Below are 15781 nucleotides of genomic sequence, written 5' to 3'. Positions count from 1 at the left end.
CTCTGTCTTGTTTTGTGTTTTAAGAGCTTAACCTTATGACCATGTGGGGATACATTCTTTTGGTTTCCACCACCCAGAGGACAGGAATTTGGGAGTTCATGTCATAGTTAGCCCTAAAAATTTTTCTTGAGCAGTTAAAAGCCTTGCAAGCTAGAAATTGGCTTCTCTAGGCTCTTCTAGGAAAAGCAATAGAAACTGCTCAATGCTGTAGAGCTCAGCAGCTAAGGCTTTATCTTTCGACAGTGGTGGCCTGGGTTCAATAGTTGGCTTCTGGAATGATTGCTTTCTGGTTTGTTAATTGTGTAACTTTGCCATTTATTGAGGTTTTTTTTTTCCCCTCATAGATAGCTTCTGATTTCCTCTCTTGAATTTTCCTTTCTCAGAACTACCTTGTGCAGATTCTAAATCTTGTAAAAAAAGAAACTGCTTGCCATGTATTTGAAGCACCTAGGAAGTTACCTTTGGTAAATTTCAGAGGCTAGATATATTGGCTTGGCATGGCTAAAGTCAGGTAATAAGAGATTTGAAAGGATTTCTTTTTTAAAGAGTACTATGGTTAAAAGTCAGCTTAATTAAAATTGAATAAACTATAGATGTATTTAAAAGGCCTTTATGTTTTTGTCTTCTTGGAACCTGTTTTTCTGGAAAAAGTTTTTTTCTTCTCAGTCTACTGAATTATTTTTCTCCAGTTTTTTGTCTTGCCACTCTTAATGCACACATGAGAGGCTCTAAGATAACTTCTGGTAGCCTGGGACTTATTGGGAAAAGCAAAGGGGGCGCCACAGACCCCATTTTGGGAAAAAAACCCTCTGTTTTCCTCATGAAACCCCAGGAACTAAAAGCGGACGGATCTCTCTCTGTTTTACATTCTATTATCTGACAGTTTTGAGTTTTGAGGGCATCAAAAATTACTTCACATTATGAGAGAGCTTTGCTGTGTAATAACTAGGTGGGAAATATACTTTAAGGGATGGCTAATAGTAGTTATATTTGAATCTTTGCACACTTGGATCAGAGAAGCATGCTTTTGTTCACCTGGAAAATAAGGAAACATCTCCAGCCCGCACTGGGAGATAAGACTTCCATGAGAAATGGGCTGATTACAAAATGGGCTGATTGGCTTTGGGTTGTCTTGCAATGAAATGCAGGGTAGGAGCACTGCACTGTCTTCTCCCGTAGTATTTCCCTCCTTTTGTGGATCCGGGATCCAGTATAAAATGGCACACTTAATTTTGGGGATCTGTCTTTGCCTTCAGCTGCTAATTTGCTGCTTATTTGGCCCTAGAAATGCATGCTTTCCTGGCCCTGTTCCTCCTCCCTGAAGCCAGTAATTCAATTAAGAAACTGGCGTGGTGGCTTATGCCTGTAATCCCAGCACTTTGGGAGGCAGAGGCGGGCGGATCACGAGGTCAGGAGATCTATACCATCCTGGCTAACACGGTGAAACCCCGTTTCTACTAAAAATACAAAAAATACAAAAAATTAGCCAGGCGTGGTGGCAGGCGCTTGTAGTCCCAGCTACTCAGGAGGCTGAGGCAAGAGAATAGCCTGAACGTGGGAGGCGGAGCTTGTAGTGAGCCGACATTGCGCTGCTGCACTCCAGCCTGGGCGACAGAGAAAGACTCTGTCTCAAAAAAAAAAAAAAAAAAAAGAAAAGAAAAGAAAAGAAAAGAAAAAAAAGAAACTGGCAAATAAAAAATCTTACAAGTGCTGAATCTTCTGTCTTTCTGTCTGTGTATTTATGTGTGTTTTTTGTTTCTATATAAAAGAGTTCTGATTAATTGGCTTAGGAAAATAAGCGCTTAAATCAAATATTTTGTCAGAAAAATGGAAACTTTAATGCCTTTTTGTTCACATGCCTTTAGGAATCTTTTGGATATAAAGACAGTTTTAAAGATTATTGATAAAATAAAATGTTTTGAAAATGTAGACATTTGGTCTAAATTAAGGTCAGATATCAGATTTGCTAAATGCATTAAGGTCAAACTGTGTCTTTGACTTTTGAAAATTATTCGATTTACCTACTTTGGAGCATTAGATTATAGATAAGGCCTAGGGACATATGGAGACCCATGCCTGCTAGCTATGTTAAAAGGAGTCAGACCTTATCTTCATTTCTGTCTGATGTCCTAGGCTCCACCGCTAGTACATATAAATTGCTTACTTATCAGGTTTTTCACTAAAAATAAAAGTTGCTAAGAGTTAACATTGTAACATCTAGTTGAGACCACCTGAGAAGCAGTTTTACATACAATGTGTGTAGGGAATGTGTTTTTGGTAAAAGATTATAAGAAGGCACGGGAATGTGGCTTTTGTTAAAGGGAATGTAATTTTGTCTATTTCAGAGGGATTTAAAGATTGTCTTAACGTGAAAGAGTTAACAGAACAAAACTGAAGGTTTAGCAAAGTGAAAAGGGTTTGTAAAGGGTTGATATTGTAAAAATTCTGTGGGCATAAACAAGTTGGCTAAGATTTAAAAGAAATTGGCTGGGCAGGGTGGCTCACACCTGTAATCCTAGCACTTTGGGAAGCCAAGGGAGGTGGATCAGAAGGTCAGGAGTTCAAGACCAGCCTGGCCAATACGGTGAAACTCCATCTCTACTAAAAGTACAAAATGTAGTTGGGCATGGTGGCACACACCTTTAATCTCAGCTACTCAGGAGGCTGAGAAAGAAGAATTGCTTGAACCTTGGAGGCGGAGGTTGCAGTGAGTCAAGATTTTGCCATTGCACTCCAGCCTGGGTGACAGAGTGAGACTCCATCTCAAAAAAAAAAAAAAAACATTAAAATCATACTGATGTGGGGCTAGAATCTGGGCCCCTGTGTTTGAATAACAGGGTTTTCTTACAAAGTTGATCTGCTGTTTGATGGAAAATTGTAAAGGGTTCTAAAAGGTTTGTGAAAATCATACCTTATGGTCAAACTAATTAAAACTCGATAGAGATATAAAATTTTATATTAAAAAACTAGCTTTAACATTAAAGATGTACTAATGCAACATTAAATTTGGTTTTCTCTTGTGAATATGATTTTTATGTACTGTTAAAAGAAAATGAAAGTGTTTTGTTTTCTCCTATGAGTAAATGGCAGGAAAAAATAGGAGAGAGAGAAGAGACAGATTCATTTGGTCTTATGCTATCTTCGCAGGGTCTCGTTTGGAAAGCTAAGTCTCCTCTATCAGAGTAAAGGTTTTTCTTTTTAAAAAAAATTTTGCAGTTATTTTGGCCAAATGAATGACTTATGGTGACCTGGGATTCTATTTTGTGATATCCAATGTTTTAAACCTTTGATATTTGACAAACTTTCCAAAATCAAATCAGAAATTATGTCTCTTTCTTACCTAATATTTTAGATATTAGGTCCTCTGAAGTCCAAAAATGACATTTGGCTTATTTGGTGCAAAAATCATACAGGAAGCATTGTCAAATATGAAATGGTGTTTTGCTTTCTTTTGCCTATATTTGTGTAAATGTGTTATTGGTGTATGTTCCAAAATTATGTAAAACTCCTATAATTCTAATATCACTTAGTGTATGTTATCAGTAATAATTACAATTATTGTTTAACAGACTGTGCCACAGAGGTAACAAATTTCCTTTACAATCTTGCCTTTACCTGTGGCTGCCCTAAAATGTTGTTGTCCATAGACACCTGTTATCTCATTTTGGTCCTCTTTAAAAGATGGTTTTATAATCACCTATAAAATGTAACAGGTGCTCTTAAATGCAGGATTCTGATTAATAACACTGGAGATTGTGACATTAGAATAGAGAAAAAATTTTTGAATAGAAAAGTGAATGGTCTTTGGTTTACTTTGGACTGTATTTGTATAAATATCTTATTAGTGTGTGTTCCAAAATTATGGGAAACTTAGTGTCCATTCTTAATAATTATAATTGTTACATAAAATTGTTGTATGCCACAGAAGTAACCAAAATTCCTAGTCAATTGTAGCTTTAATAGTGGCTGTAGACTTTTGTCATTCACAGACGTTTCTCTTGCTTTGTCTTGCTTTGGTCCTTTTCAAAAGGCAGTTTATAATCAGATATAGGACTGTAAGTGCAGGTTTCAGATAACTTTTAAAACTGTGCTATTGGAATAGAGGAAAAAAATCAAACTTCTAGGACTCTCCTGGAGAGCAAATGTGTTAAACATTGGTAAACCTTTTGTTATCAGAGTCAAGATAACTTATATTTTAGAGCTTTTTGCAACTCCTGTGAACAAAATTTGGAGCATATTTGTTCCTCTCTGCCTGATTTCTCCAGAATTTGGAAACTGTTTGTGAATATTTTCAATTTATGGTGGTATAGTTAATTGCATAAGTGCAATAAGAATCTGTTTTCTTTTGTAACAGGACAAAATTGGAGAAACTGATTATTTTACCCAGGCTTTGACTGGAATGGCATGATTCCTTTAAAAAATTCAAGCTTGACTTATACAGCCAATTAAGCCCTGTTGGGGAATCTGGTCTCATACCTTGTCCACACAGAGTCCTTGTACAAGTTTCCCGACCTGTGGTAAGTAAAGAATGTCACTTTCTAACAGGCCCAGGAACCCCAAGCTCTCTTGGGCCCTAAGAGGAGAGGAATTTGCCAAACTCATAGGTGTTGAGGGTACAAACCCATGGCTGGGCTCGGGTTTTTTTTTTTTTTTTTGAGATGGAGTTTCACTCTCATTGCCCAGGCTGGTGTGCAATGGCATCACCTTGACTCACTTCAACCTCTGCCTCCCAGGTTCAAGCAATTCTCCTGCCTCAGCCTCCTGAGTAGCTAGGATTATAGGCACCCGCTGCCACATCTGGCTAATTTTTTTTTCTTTGTATTTTTAGTACAGACCAGGTTTCACCATGTTGACCAGGCTGGTTTTGAACTCCTGACCTCAGGAGATCCATCCACCTTGGCCTCCCAAAGTGCTGGGTTTATAGGTGTAAGCTGCTGTGCCCAACCTGGGCTCAGCTTTTAAAAAGTCTTATCTGAGATTCCTCATGTAACAGAGTTCTATCAAAGCCAATTTAAAAAGCCTAAGTGAAAAATAATTATTCTTGCTGCACTTTAAGCAAATAATCATGCCAAGTACTGTAAGACTAGAGTTTATTTTGTAAACAAATCAGTTCTATCATGATTTGTTTTTAATTAAAATGGGGACTAGGGAGAGAAAAATTATGCTTCAAAAGAAAAACTATAGTACACTGTTATTAGCTGTTCTTGAGGTTTTTTTCTGTAGTTTAGACTAAATCCTAAATTCTTTGTTGGTTAGAAGTCCCCAAACTAATGTTTTTAAATCTTTGCTTTTAAAATTGGGAATTGTACTCCTCATCCTAGGGCTTGTTATTTGCCTTATAGTAGGCTGTTCACTTAAACACTGTAGTAAATCTATAGATGAGAGTACTAATATTTTTGCCATGCAAGCCTTGAAATCCCATCCGGGCCTGCATGATTACACCCAGATCAGTGCAAAGCAGTTCCACTCTTGTCATCTCGGGGTTAACTCCCATTCCCACTATGTCTCCTGTTAGCAGGAAGAAGCCAGATTGATTGATGGCCTTTTCCCATCTTCATAGCCTACACCTTAAGATGAAGGTGTTATAAAACCCAAAGGGAGGGATTGTAACTGCCTTTGCAAAATTATGATTGAGATAGTGAAAGAGAGCTAAATTAACTGACTCCATCTTGCTTCCAACCTCCAAGCTGTCTTTGTTCATTTCTGGGGGAAGGCTGAACTAACTTTGGGAGAAACTTAGTTTACAGTTTAAACAAAGACAGTAAAACCCCTTTCCCAAAGCAGACCTCCTTTTTGCCTGAGGACTAGATTGCCTTTGTAGGACTAACATTAGCCACAAGAGTAGAAATTATGGTTTAGGAGTCATGCAGCTGGAGGCTACAAGATTCTGACCTTCCCTAAACTGCTCCTAAGATCAGTGCTTGAGATATTTTGCAGACCCTGCACTTGATGGATCAGCTGGCCCCACCCAGATCAATAAACTGGCTCATCTGATCTTGAGGCCCCCACCCAGGAACTGACTGCATACAGGAAGACAGCTCCAGCTCCTGCTCCTTCTGATTTCATCTCTGACCAATCAACACTCCTGGCTCACTGGCTTCCCCCCACCCACCAAGTTATCCTTAAAAATTCTGCTCCCTGAATGCTCAAGGAGACTGATTTGAGTAATCATAAACCTCCAGTCTCCCACACAGCCAGCTCTGTGTGAATTACTCTTCCTCTATTGCAATTCCCTTGTCTTGATGAATCAGCTCTGTCTAGGCAGCAGGCAAGGTGAACCCCTTGGGTGGTTACAACTGAACCATGGCACACAACATTTAGTTAGTAAAACACTTTGCTGTATTAAATGCATCCTTTTTTTATAGCCCTGACAATGCATGCATTTCCAGAAACATGGGTTGATTTTATGAGCACAAAAGGTGGAAGATGAGCCCTTTAATGTATTCTTCTCAGTGATAAGCCTACTTTGCACAGTAACACATAATAGAGTTTCTCAAGGACTTTACTGTATTTTACAAGCAAGGGCTGAGGGTATTTGGTAGATGTGGAATTTGACCTACAGAATGCTGCAATACCCAACCTAAGGTCAAACAGGCAGTCCCTGGCCAATTTTGTTCAGAACCTTGACCATCTAACTATCTTTTGCTCTAACATTATGTTTTTTTTTCTAATCCATCAAGAAAGAAGAAAGAGCTTTAACAGACATTTGATAATGAATTGTTACTTCTTACTCATGTTTATATATAAACTCTTGACTGTCAATGCTATAAAAGACAATTCAAAAGGAAGAAATGCAGTTATATTGAAACACCATTCAAAACATCACAACAAGAAATGCAGTCTACTATAAACTGGTAAGTTCTAGTAGTTGTGGACTTTTTAGTGGATTACAAGAGTAAAAATATTAATTTTGAAATTGATTATTTGGATCTGAGAACATTGTTTTTCATTGAAATTATATGTATCTGCTGGTTATGTTCTTGAGACAGAATGAAAAAGAATGCCTATTTAATGCATAATGTACTTAAGTAATGGTAATAATAGTACTGTTTCAACGTATCTCACATTGTTTCCATGGAAGAAAATATTTCAAGCCCCAGACTTTCACAGCTGGGCCATTTCTAAAGCAGGTGTGACTGATTCTGATAGTGGCAGCAGATGCATAAGGAAAAGGCCAGGCGATAGAAAAGTTAGAGATGGGAACAGGTTTCAAAACCATTTTCTTAATTCTGCATTTCAGTGGGAGAAATGACATTGTTTTCTATCTGCTCAAAGAACGCCAGATACATCCTAGGTTCTCTGAATTGAGAAAGAATGAGAAGTTTCTCTCCAACAAATGGAGGTCTGAATGCAGACCACCTGTACCTGAATGCAGCTACAGACTTGCATTTTGTTCAAGAAAGATATCTTTCTGCTGGTGGGACAAGACACAAGATACACACAGAAAGAAAGTATAATTGAGAAGGGAGGAAATATATGTTAGGTGAGGAAGAACTTACTTTGTACAAAATACACTAGTAATACTAGTAGTAGTCACGGTGAGAAGGAAAAGAAAAGTATTGCAAGATGTGCAATACTCAAGCCACGCCTTTAGTGCTTAATTGGGAAAATTTGACCTCTGATTTTACCTCTGGTTTCCACACTCCTGAAAGGAGGATATTGAATTTAATGATTCTTTAATGGTTTTTCAGCTTTAAAATGCTACATTTATGCTACAATAAACCTGAATAAACAATACAGCCCTAGGGAGAAGGTAAGCAAGAACATGGCAGAGCCCCAGTGTTGGGGAGATGAAGGCCTGCTGAGAAAGTGACCCCATAACCAGGCCCAAACACAGCTAAATGAAATAGAGTCCAAGGTAGACAGTAGGACTTGGAAATAAGATAGAGGAATACTTCTTTTAAAAATATGCCTCCTTAAACTGCTTCTAGGGTAGCTTCATGAGGAAGCTGGCATCGAGTGCCAGAGCATTAATCCAAGCCACTTCAAACACCTTCTTGTCTTACTTTGGGATTTATCTTAGAGAATATGACAGGAGTGAATTCACGGGTAGAAAGCAAGTTTCATCAGATCATTTTGTGTGGTGGTAGATATTTTAAATTATTCACACTTTTCTCTTTTTTTCTCAGATCACCTCTTTTTTTAGTTTTTATTTTTCTCTTTCCTCTCACCCTACCCAGAAATACTACTATAGTAAGTTATTATCTCTGATAAAAATAAGTCAAAGTCCTTAGGTGTGATGGAGACAGGATAAGGTTGAGACTTATGGTCCATTGGGAAAATAGATGATATACAGTGACTGAACCCAGGCAGAACCTAAAAAATACATTGAACATCTGGGTGTTTTTAGCAAAATATGAGATTGGATTATGTGGTCCATCTGCATGGAATTAGCATTAAATTTATCTAGTAGTTAGATGAAGATGCATACTATATAAATCCAAATATAAGAAGTAGCTATTATAATAATTATTGATAATAATTTACTGTTCTTATCCATGGCCTTAAACATGTCATTTTATAATTGTATTCTTCAGTTTTATAAACTGATCTAAAAAGCCCAAAAATAATTCTGTAAAGGCAAATGACCTGATAAGGCAAAACAAAACCTTAATATCTCAGCAAAGGTAATTTAACAAGAAATTTCATTGTATTCACACAGAATTAATTTTTATGATAAATTATATTAGACCATCAAGCACTTTACTTGTTTATGTCTTCACAAGTGAGAGAAAAATCACACAAGAAATAAATTTATTTAAATATATTGACATATCATGTCATGAATTATTCCCATGTTTCACCTCTGTTCATGTTGACTTTGTAGATACAGCTTTAGAAAATATTTTGTATATCACTAAGATAAACAAGATACATATTTATGGGAGTTATTGCATTATTCCATTTACAGTATTCTTCATCAGGTAGATGATTGTCGACCAGTTAAAATAAAAATTTAAGAATTTTTTTAATAAAAGGCATAACTTGTTGATAAATACTTGGTAAGAACAATTATATTACAAAGAAATAGAAGAAATAAATAAAAATGGAAAAATCATTTAAATCTAGAAATACATTTTCCTTTAGAATCTAAATATTTGAGTAGAAGGTTTCCATTTCCCTTTAAGTTGCATTTGAATAAGTGGCTGAGAAGCCTCATGGCACATTCATGGATAGTGATACTTATGTTATAAGTGGCTGAGCCTCACATGAAAATACGATTCACCAATTATGTCATGTTTACCTGATAATGTTCAACAAATTTTGAACACTTAAAAATTATTTGGCATTATTTTTTACGTTAACATTCTTAATATCTAAGCTGGACATATATGGCAATGTCACCCTCACAGGGAATACACTTATTTTTCACTTTTGTTTTGAAAGCACTTTGAAAAATTAAAAGTAGTATATGACCATAAGAAAGCAATGGGCTTTCCTGTATTGTAAATTTCCTGTATTGTCTACATAAAAACCTGTAGACAAATGACACAGTAAATATGGACACTGATTCTTGGAACTTGATTGTAGACTAGAAAGCTTCAAATAAGATTATCTACAGGTTTCTAGAATGTCCTTACAAGCAAGGATATCTTATGACACCAGAGAAAAATGAGACAGCAGTTTCCCATGAATAAATTCTGATCCCTTTGCACATTGAGCAGATATACCAAGGGAGAGACCATTGGCTCTCATTCTTTGGCTTTTTAAAAAATTTCACCTACTTGTTTCCAGTTGTGTACATAAAAAGAAAGTTAAGTTGCAGTTGAAACATATTGGCCAGGATACCCGCGAGTTATTTTGTGTTTGTGCTTTCTTCAAATGCAGCCAAAATTAGGATATATATTAATTTTTTAAAAATAAAAGTCATGTTTTTGACCTCTGTTTATCAAAAAGCTGTTAGTCTTATATTATGAAGGCAATTTAATGAAAGTAATGACTTAGAAAACCAAGAAATTTTAAATAAAAAGTCAATTTCTTTCTGCTGTCATGGAATGAGGTAGATGAGAGGCACGAATGTGAGACAACTCTTTGAATTTGATTAACTATGCTTTTAGACAATCTGTGTTATTAAAAATAACATTTGGAAATATTGGAGTTGTAGTTCTTAGATAAGGTTACAAAGCCAATGTTTATTGTAATTAATGATTTAAACATCCTTCTGAAAAGCATTCTCAGCAAGTCATAAGAATCTAAATGATGAAACGGAATATTTTTAGCAATTGTTTCCATGAAAAAGACAGTCAACATTGACGAAATAATAAAAGCAACAAAATGCAAGTCTCTGTCATCACAAGTCTGTATGAGAAGCAAACAGCTTTACTTCTCTGAGAGATGATGTTACAAGCTCTGCCCCTCACTATTCCAAAGAGCTACTCACATGCTTTTTACATGAGATGAAAGGCTTCATAATCCAAGAAGTTCATAGATCACTTTAACATCATCTTTTCCAGTATTTTTTTACTGGTTAGTAAAGATAAGCCTTATCCTTGTTTTATAGAAGAAATTTTTCTGTGCTCATTACAGCCCAGCTGATGGGTGCCGAGGCTTTTATTAGGCTTTTATCGCATTAATAAGATGCTATGTTGCATGCTTCACAACAATTGAGCAAATTCCATTTCACTTTTCCTTTGTCCACAGTACTGTTTGTACCAATTATCAGGATTGAAAACGATGTCTAGTAGCATTCTCAAAGTTAAAGAAGGGATTGACCTATCAATCTGGTCGTGCTGTATGGCATTGGGATAGAGCTTTAAAAAATCACGCAGATGTAAGACAAAATAAACAAATATTGCTAGCAGATCTGCAAAAATCTAGTAGTGGTAATTTTGTTGGATATGCAACTAGAAATTGTCACACCAGTAGTAAGGGCCACAAAATTAAAAAAAAATTCATTCCAAATAATGCAACATAACAATCAAGACAAACATGCATCAATACCTGTTTTACTTACAGTTTTAACATATCTTATTCCATAGTTTAACACTATTTTATTTTGGTATAGAAGATCTCTATTACGTACTTCTTTCGATAATTTATTGTATGACTCAATTAGTTGTCTCCATTGCACTTGAAGATTCCAGTACCCCTAAGCTCAGTCTCTCCTATCAGCATTACATTTTTCACATTTTTCATTCCCTCCAGTTGTATAACATTATGTATGAATGTCCTCTTAAATAAATTAAGCTCCTAGAGTTCTTTCTTGTTCTTGGACTGACAGTAGACATCTAAGTGTCTACCATCCCAAAGAGGTACATGTCCATTTATTTTTCATATTTGGAGTCACCAATTAAAAGGTGAAGAAAGAAAGTATTCATTTGGTCAAGATTTCACAAGTGTCTATTATGTCCCAGGAACTATTCTAGGCACTGGAGATAGAGCTATGAACAAAATGGAAATCTTTGCTATCATACAGCTTATATTCTGTTACAGAGGACACAGATAATAAAGAAAATAAATGAGTAAAATACAAAGTATATAAGATAGTTGATAAGTATTGTAGAGGAAAATTAAATAGGCAAGGGAGACAGAGGGCATTGGAAAAAGGGGAAGTTAGTTATGTGGAGGAGCAAAATAGACCTTGCCAAAATAGTCACATTTAAGTAAATTTCCAAATGGAGTGAGCAAGGAAGTCATCAGGATATCTCAGAGAAGATCCTGGAATAGGCACAGGAAAAGACAGATGCAGACAGGAGGCTTCTGGTCTTGGTGAAAAAACTAGTGTAGCTAGAATTAGTGCTGATAGGAGAAAGCAAGGTGTTAGAGGTAAAGGTGTGAATGTTGCAGGAAAAACACCAAGGGAGGCAGATTTTTTGGTACCTTGTGGGCCATTCCAAAATGTCAGTCTTTCTCCCAGTGAGTTGGAAGCCAGTGGATTGAATTTGAAAGAATTTTAGTCTTCTCTTTAACAATTACAATGCTTTGAGAAATTTTTTGTTGGAGAAATTAAAGAGCTACAATTCAATTATTTTTGCAAATATATTAAACTCTAGCTGTTCACTTCATGCTGCATGTATGTATTATTTTAAAATAGTTTTTTTTTTTAATGTTAAATCAGTCAGGCTAAGAAGAATTTTTTGTTTGTTTTTTTTTTCTGGAAGACAGTTGAGTTAGCCAGTTTCACTCAGTCCATGGCATTAAGATAGCAATTTAGAAATTTAACATGAAGCAGGACTGAATTCCTATCTGTTTATGATGCTGTACACATTAAATAGATTCAGTTAGTAATCAGAATCAATTAGAAATTTAATAGTTGTAGCAGAAATTTTAGTAAGAAAAAATATTTGTGAAAAGTCATTTTAGTGGGAAAATTTTGTTGTCACCAAGAGAAGTTTTGGAGTCTTAATAATAATTATGAACAGTTATGGCCAGGTACAGTGGCTAACACCTGTAATCCCAGCACTTTGGGAAGATGAGGCAGGTGGATCACCTGAGGTCAGGACTTTGAGACCAGCCTGGCCAACATGATGAAACCCCGTCTCTACTAGAAATTCAAAAATTAGCTGGGTGTGGTGGCACGTGCCTGTAATCCCAGCTACTGGAGAGGCTGAGGCCAGAGAATCACTTGAACCCAGGAGGCAGAGGTTGCAGTGAGCCAAGATTGTGCCACTCCTCTCCATCCTGGGTGACACAGTGAAACTCCATCTCAAAAAAAAAAAAAGCAATAAATAAACTCCTTGCATGTATTATCTTACTTCACACTACTATTATTATTACCTACTACTATTAATATGTTGTTATAATACATTGATATCATAATTACTCCTATTAGTAATGGTGGTATTACACCTATTTTAATGAAATGAAAAAAATCAACCTTAAACTTAAAGAAGTCAAGTAATTTTTATGGTGCCTAAGAACCAGAATTAGCTTCCAAACCCAGTTTTGAAGATTCTAGAGGCCACACACTATGGATACTTTTTCTGCCTTATCAAGTTAACAATGGTAAACTTATAAATCAACTTGCAAAGCTATTATGAATAGAAGCATTTCATGCTATGATTGTAACATACTGCTGCGTGTGGGCGACACGTAGTTAGAGTCCATAAAATACTAGTTCCTTCACCACTTTCCCAGCTAAGTGGTAAAGACATTACTTATTTTCAAAAGAACAACAGAAGACTGAACATGGAGTCTGTTTAAAAAAAATACACTTTGTTTAGGTAAACACATTTATAGTACTGGGCGTTTTGTAAGAAAATGCACTCCTCCTGCTGATGCTTGCAGTAATTCTCTCCAGAACAGCAGCACAGACTATACTATCTATACTATACACACATAATGGTAATTTCAGAGTAGAAACATATCAATCACAATTTGTACACATAATTTTAGAAGGCATAGTGTGCTATACACTGTCTTCCAGGAATGTGTTTGTTTTGCAAGGAAATAAAATGTAACTTTTCATTAAATGTTACCATATATATATATATATATACATATATATATATACACACACACATATATATATACATATATATATATATACACACATATATATATATACACATATATATATATATATAAAACAACTGTGTTCTACCTTATACTAAAACTCTTTGCAAATATGGATTTGACATATATAAATTTGACAACTCTTAACCATTTAGAATCTTAATTCCTGTTCCAAAGATTCTTCTTTTATACAACTAAAACCAGGCTCTTATTTTCTTTGTATAACATCCTCCTAGCTTTCATCCCCTAGTTTTAACTTTGGGTCATATCAGACCAGGTTATTAATTTTGTTCCCCATTTATCCCATTCGCACACTGGAAGGTACATAAATTGTAACCAGTGTCTAATACCATCCTCAGAGTCCATGTCATGAGACTAACTTATAATGAGATCTTTTTGGCTTCTCCAGTAAAACTACACCTTCTTGGATAATATCCAAGACACATCTGTTTTAAATCAAGTTCTGCTCTACAGAATGTGGCAATGTGGATGTAGACAAGAGTAAATACATCTCTGGCTCAAGTACAACAGTAACTTTTTAATTAAATGTTAATTTGTTACCTATAATGCTAAGTAGTTTTAAAAGAGATTTCAAATATATTATCTCATTCTTTACAGCAGCCCTGTGTGAAAGGTAGAATAGAAATTATACTCATATTTTACCCTTAAGGAAACAAAAACTCTAAGACAATAAGCAACCAGTCTCAGGTTAGACACCTGCAAAGAATTAAAGTTGGTTTCAAGTTGAGGATTTCTGACTTTTTTTCCAGAGCTCTTCTCACCACACATAACGCCTAAGTGAGAAAGCTGAAGTGAAGTCACTCATAAATTTGTGGGTGAAACATAAAATATTTTCTTTGGGGCCAAATATACAGAGAAATCTTGCAGTCATTCTTTGTTTGGAAATACAGGTTTTTCCTGCAACTGTCAAACAAAGTTCCATTCTGCCAAGAGCACGTTCTGCAATTTTTTGGAATAATACTTTTTTTATGACTATCAAAGACACCAAAAATTGGTACTAATGAAAGGAAACTTACCATGTCATATATTAAACAATATTATAAGATTAACAATAACTTTAAAAATGTGGTACTAGTACACATCATGGAACAGTTCAAAAGCAGTCCCAAATATATTAAAAAACTTTTATATGCCCCAAAAGAAATAGAGGTGTAAGAGTTAAATTATTCAAAAAATGGTGTTAGAAAGAATATCCATCATTTTTATTCATCTCACAACAGGGATTGAAATATATTCCAAGTAGATGAAATAATTAAATGCAAATAAAATGTATAGGTAAGTATTTAACAAATTGGGAATGCTAGATATGGTTGCCCAAGTCGTGTGCAGCTGCACAATGACACCTAGGTGAATGGTTTTAACACCTTGCAACTGATTTTTGGTTGGGAAAGAATTTTTTAAGTGGGAAAGCAATATGAAAATCACATAAGTGAGATTCATAGATTTGACCATATCAACACAGTTGAATATTATACATCAAACTTAATTTGTCTTATACAAATTACGACAAAGAATGACTGGTAAAAACATTTGCAATAAATATTATATCCTCGCAGGATTTGTGTATAAATTCATGTATATGTAATGACCAACACTCAAATCCCCAGCAATAACATTCATTACTTCTATAAATTAGGGTGATGTTAAAAGATATAACAAAAATATCCCAAATTGTAAAATGGCTCAAATATAATAGAAACAAGCATTTGTAAACTTTTTATACCAGGGCCATGTTAGCAGTCTGGTGAAGCTTAGAATCCCTTCTCAAAATAATTTTTTATTTCTTTGTATTTTATATATTTTTTATTTTTATAGATTTAAGGGGTACAAGTGCAGTTTTGTTACATGGATATATTGTGTGGTGGTAAAGCCTGGGTTTTTAGTGTAATATAACCCAAATAATATACATTGTACCTGGTAATTTCTCATCCATCATCCCCCTGCCACTCTCCCACTTTTCTGAGTCTCCAACCTTTATTATTTTACTCTCTATGCCCATGTGTACACATCATCAAAATAGTGTTTTTAAATACATGAAAGAAAATTTTTAAAGTTTCAAAAGAAACTAATTACATTGAAATGCAGTGCTAAAGTATTAAAATAATTTATGATATAATAATAAAGATGCTTATTTATTAAAACATCAAATAAAATATACCAGCAGGTTCATTACTACTATATTTTTAAAATCTTGATGAGTATGAATTAAATTTCAGATATTTGTTACAATTGTAATGTGATACAAAAATACTTTTCATAGGTACTGCTAATGCGACTGGTTTGTTGTTTATACTCATAACAAAAG

At 35.1% G+C, this 15781-nt stretch overlaps 1 long non-coding RNA gene across 1 annotated transcript in view; it reads left to right on the top strand.

The window, feature by feature from the left end:
- LINC02144 (long intergenic non-protein coding RNA 2144) overlaps positions 1-15781 on the top strand; it is a 75109-nt gene that overhangs the window by 13088 nt on the left and 46240 nt on the right. Inside the window, exons 2-3 of the long non-coding RNA NR_183312.1 lie at positions 4355-4517; positions 6681-6854. This is a non-coding gene — a long non-coding RNA (long intergenic non-protein coding RNA 2144). The remainder of the gene's footprint in view (positions 1-4354; positions 4518-6680; positions 6855-15781) is intronic.

This window comes from Homo sapiens, chromosome 5 (genome assembly GCF_000001405.40).
Source record: "Homo sapiens chromosome 5, GRCh38.p14 Primary Assembly".
Classification (NCBI taxonomy): Eukaryota; Metazoa; Chordata; class Mammalia; order Primates; family Hominidae; genus Homo; species Homo sapiens.
This window is presented reverse-complemented; position numbering and strand designations above follow the sequence as displayed.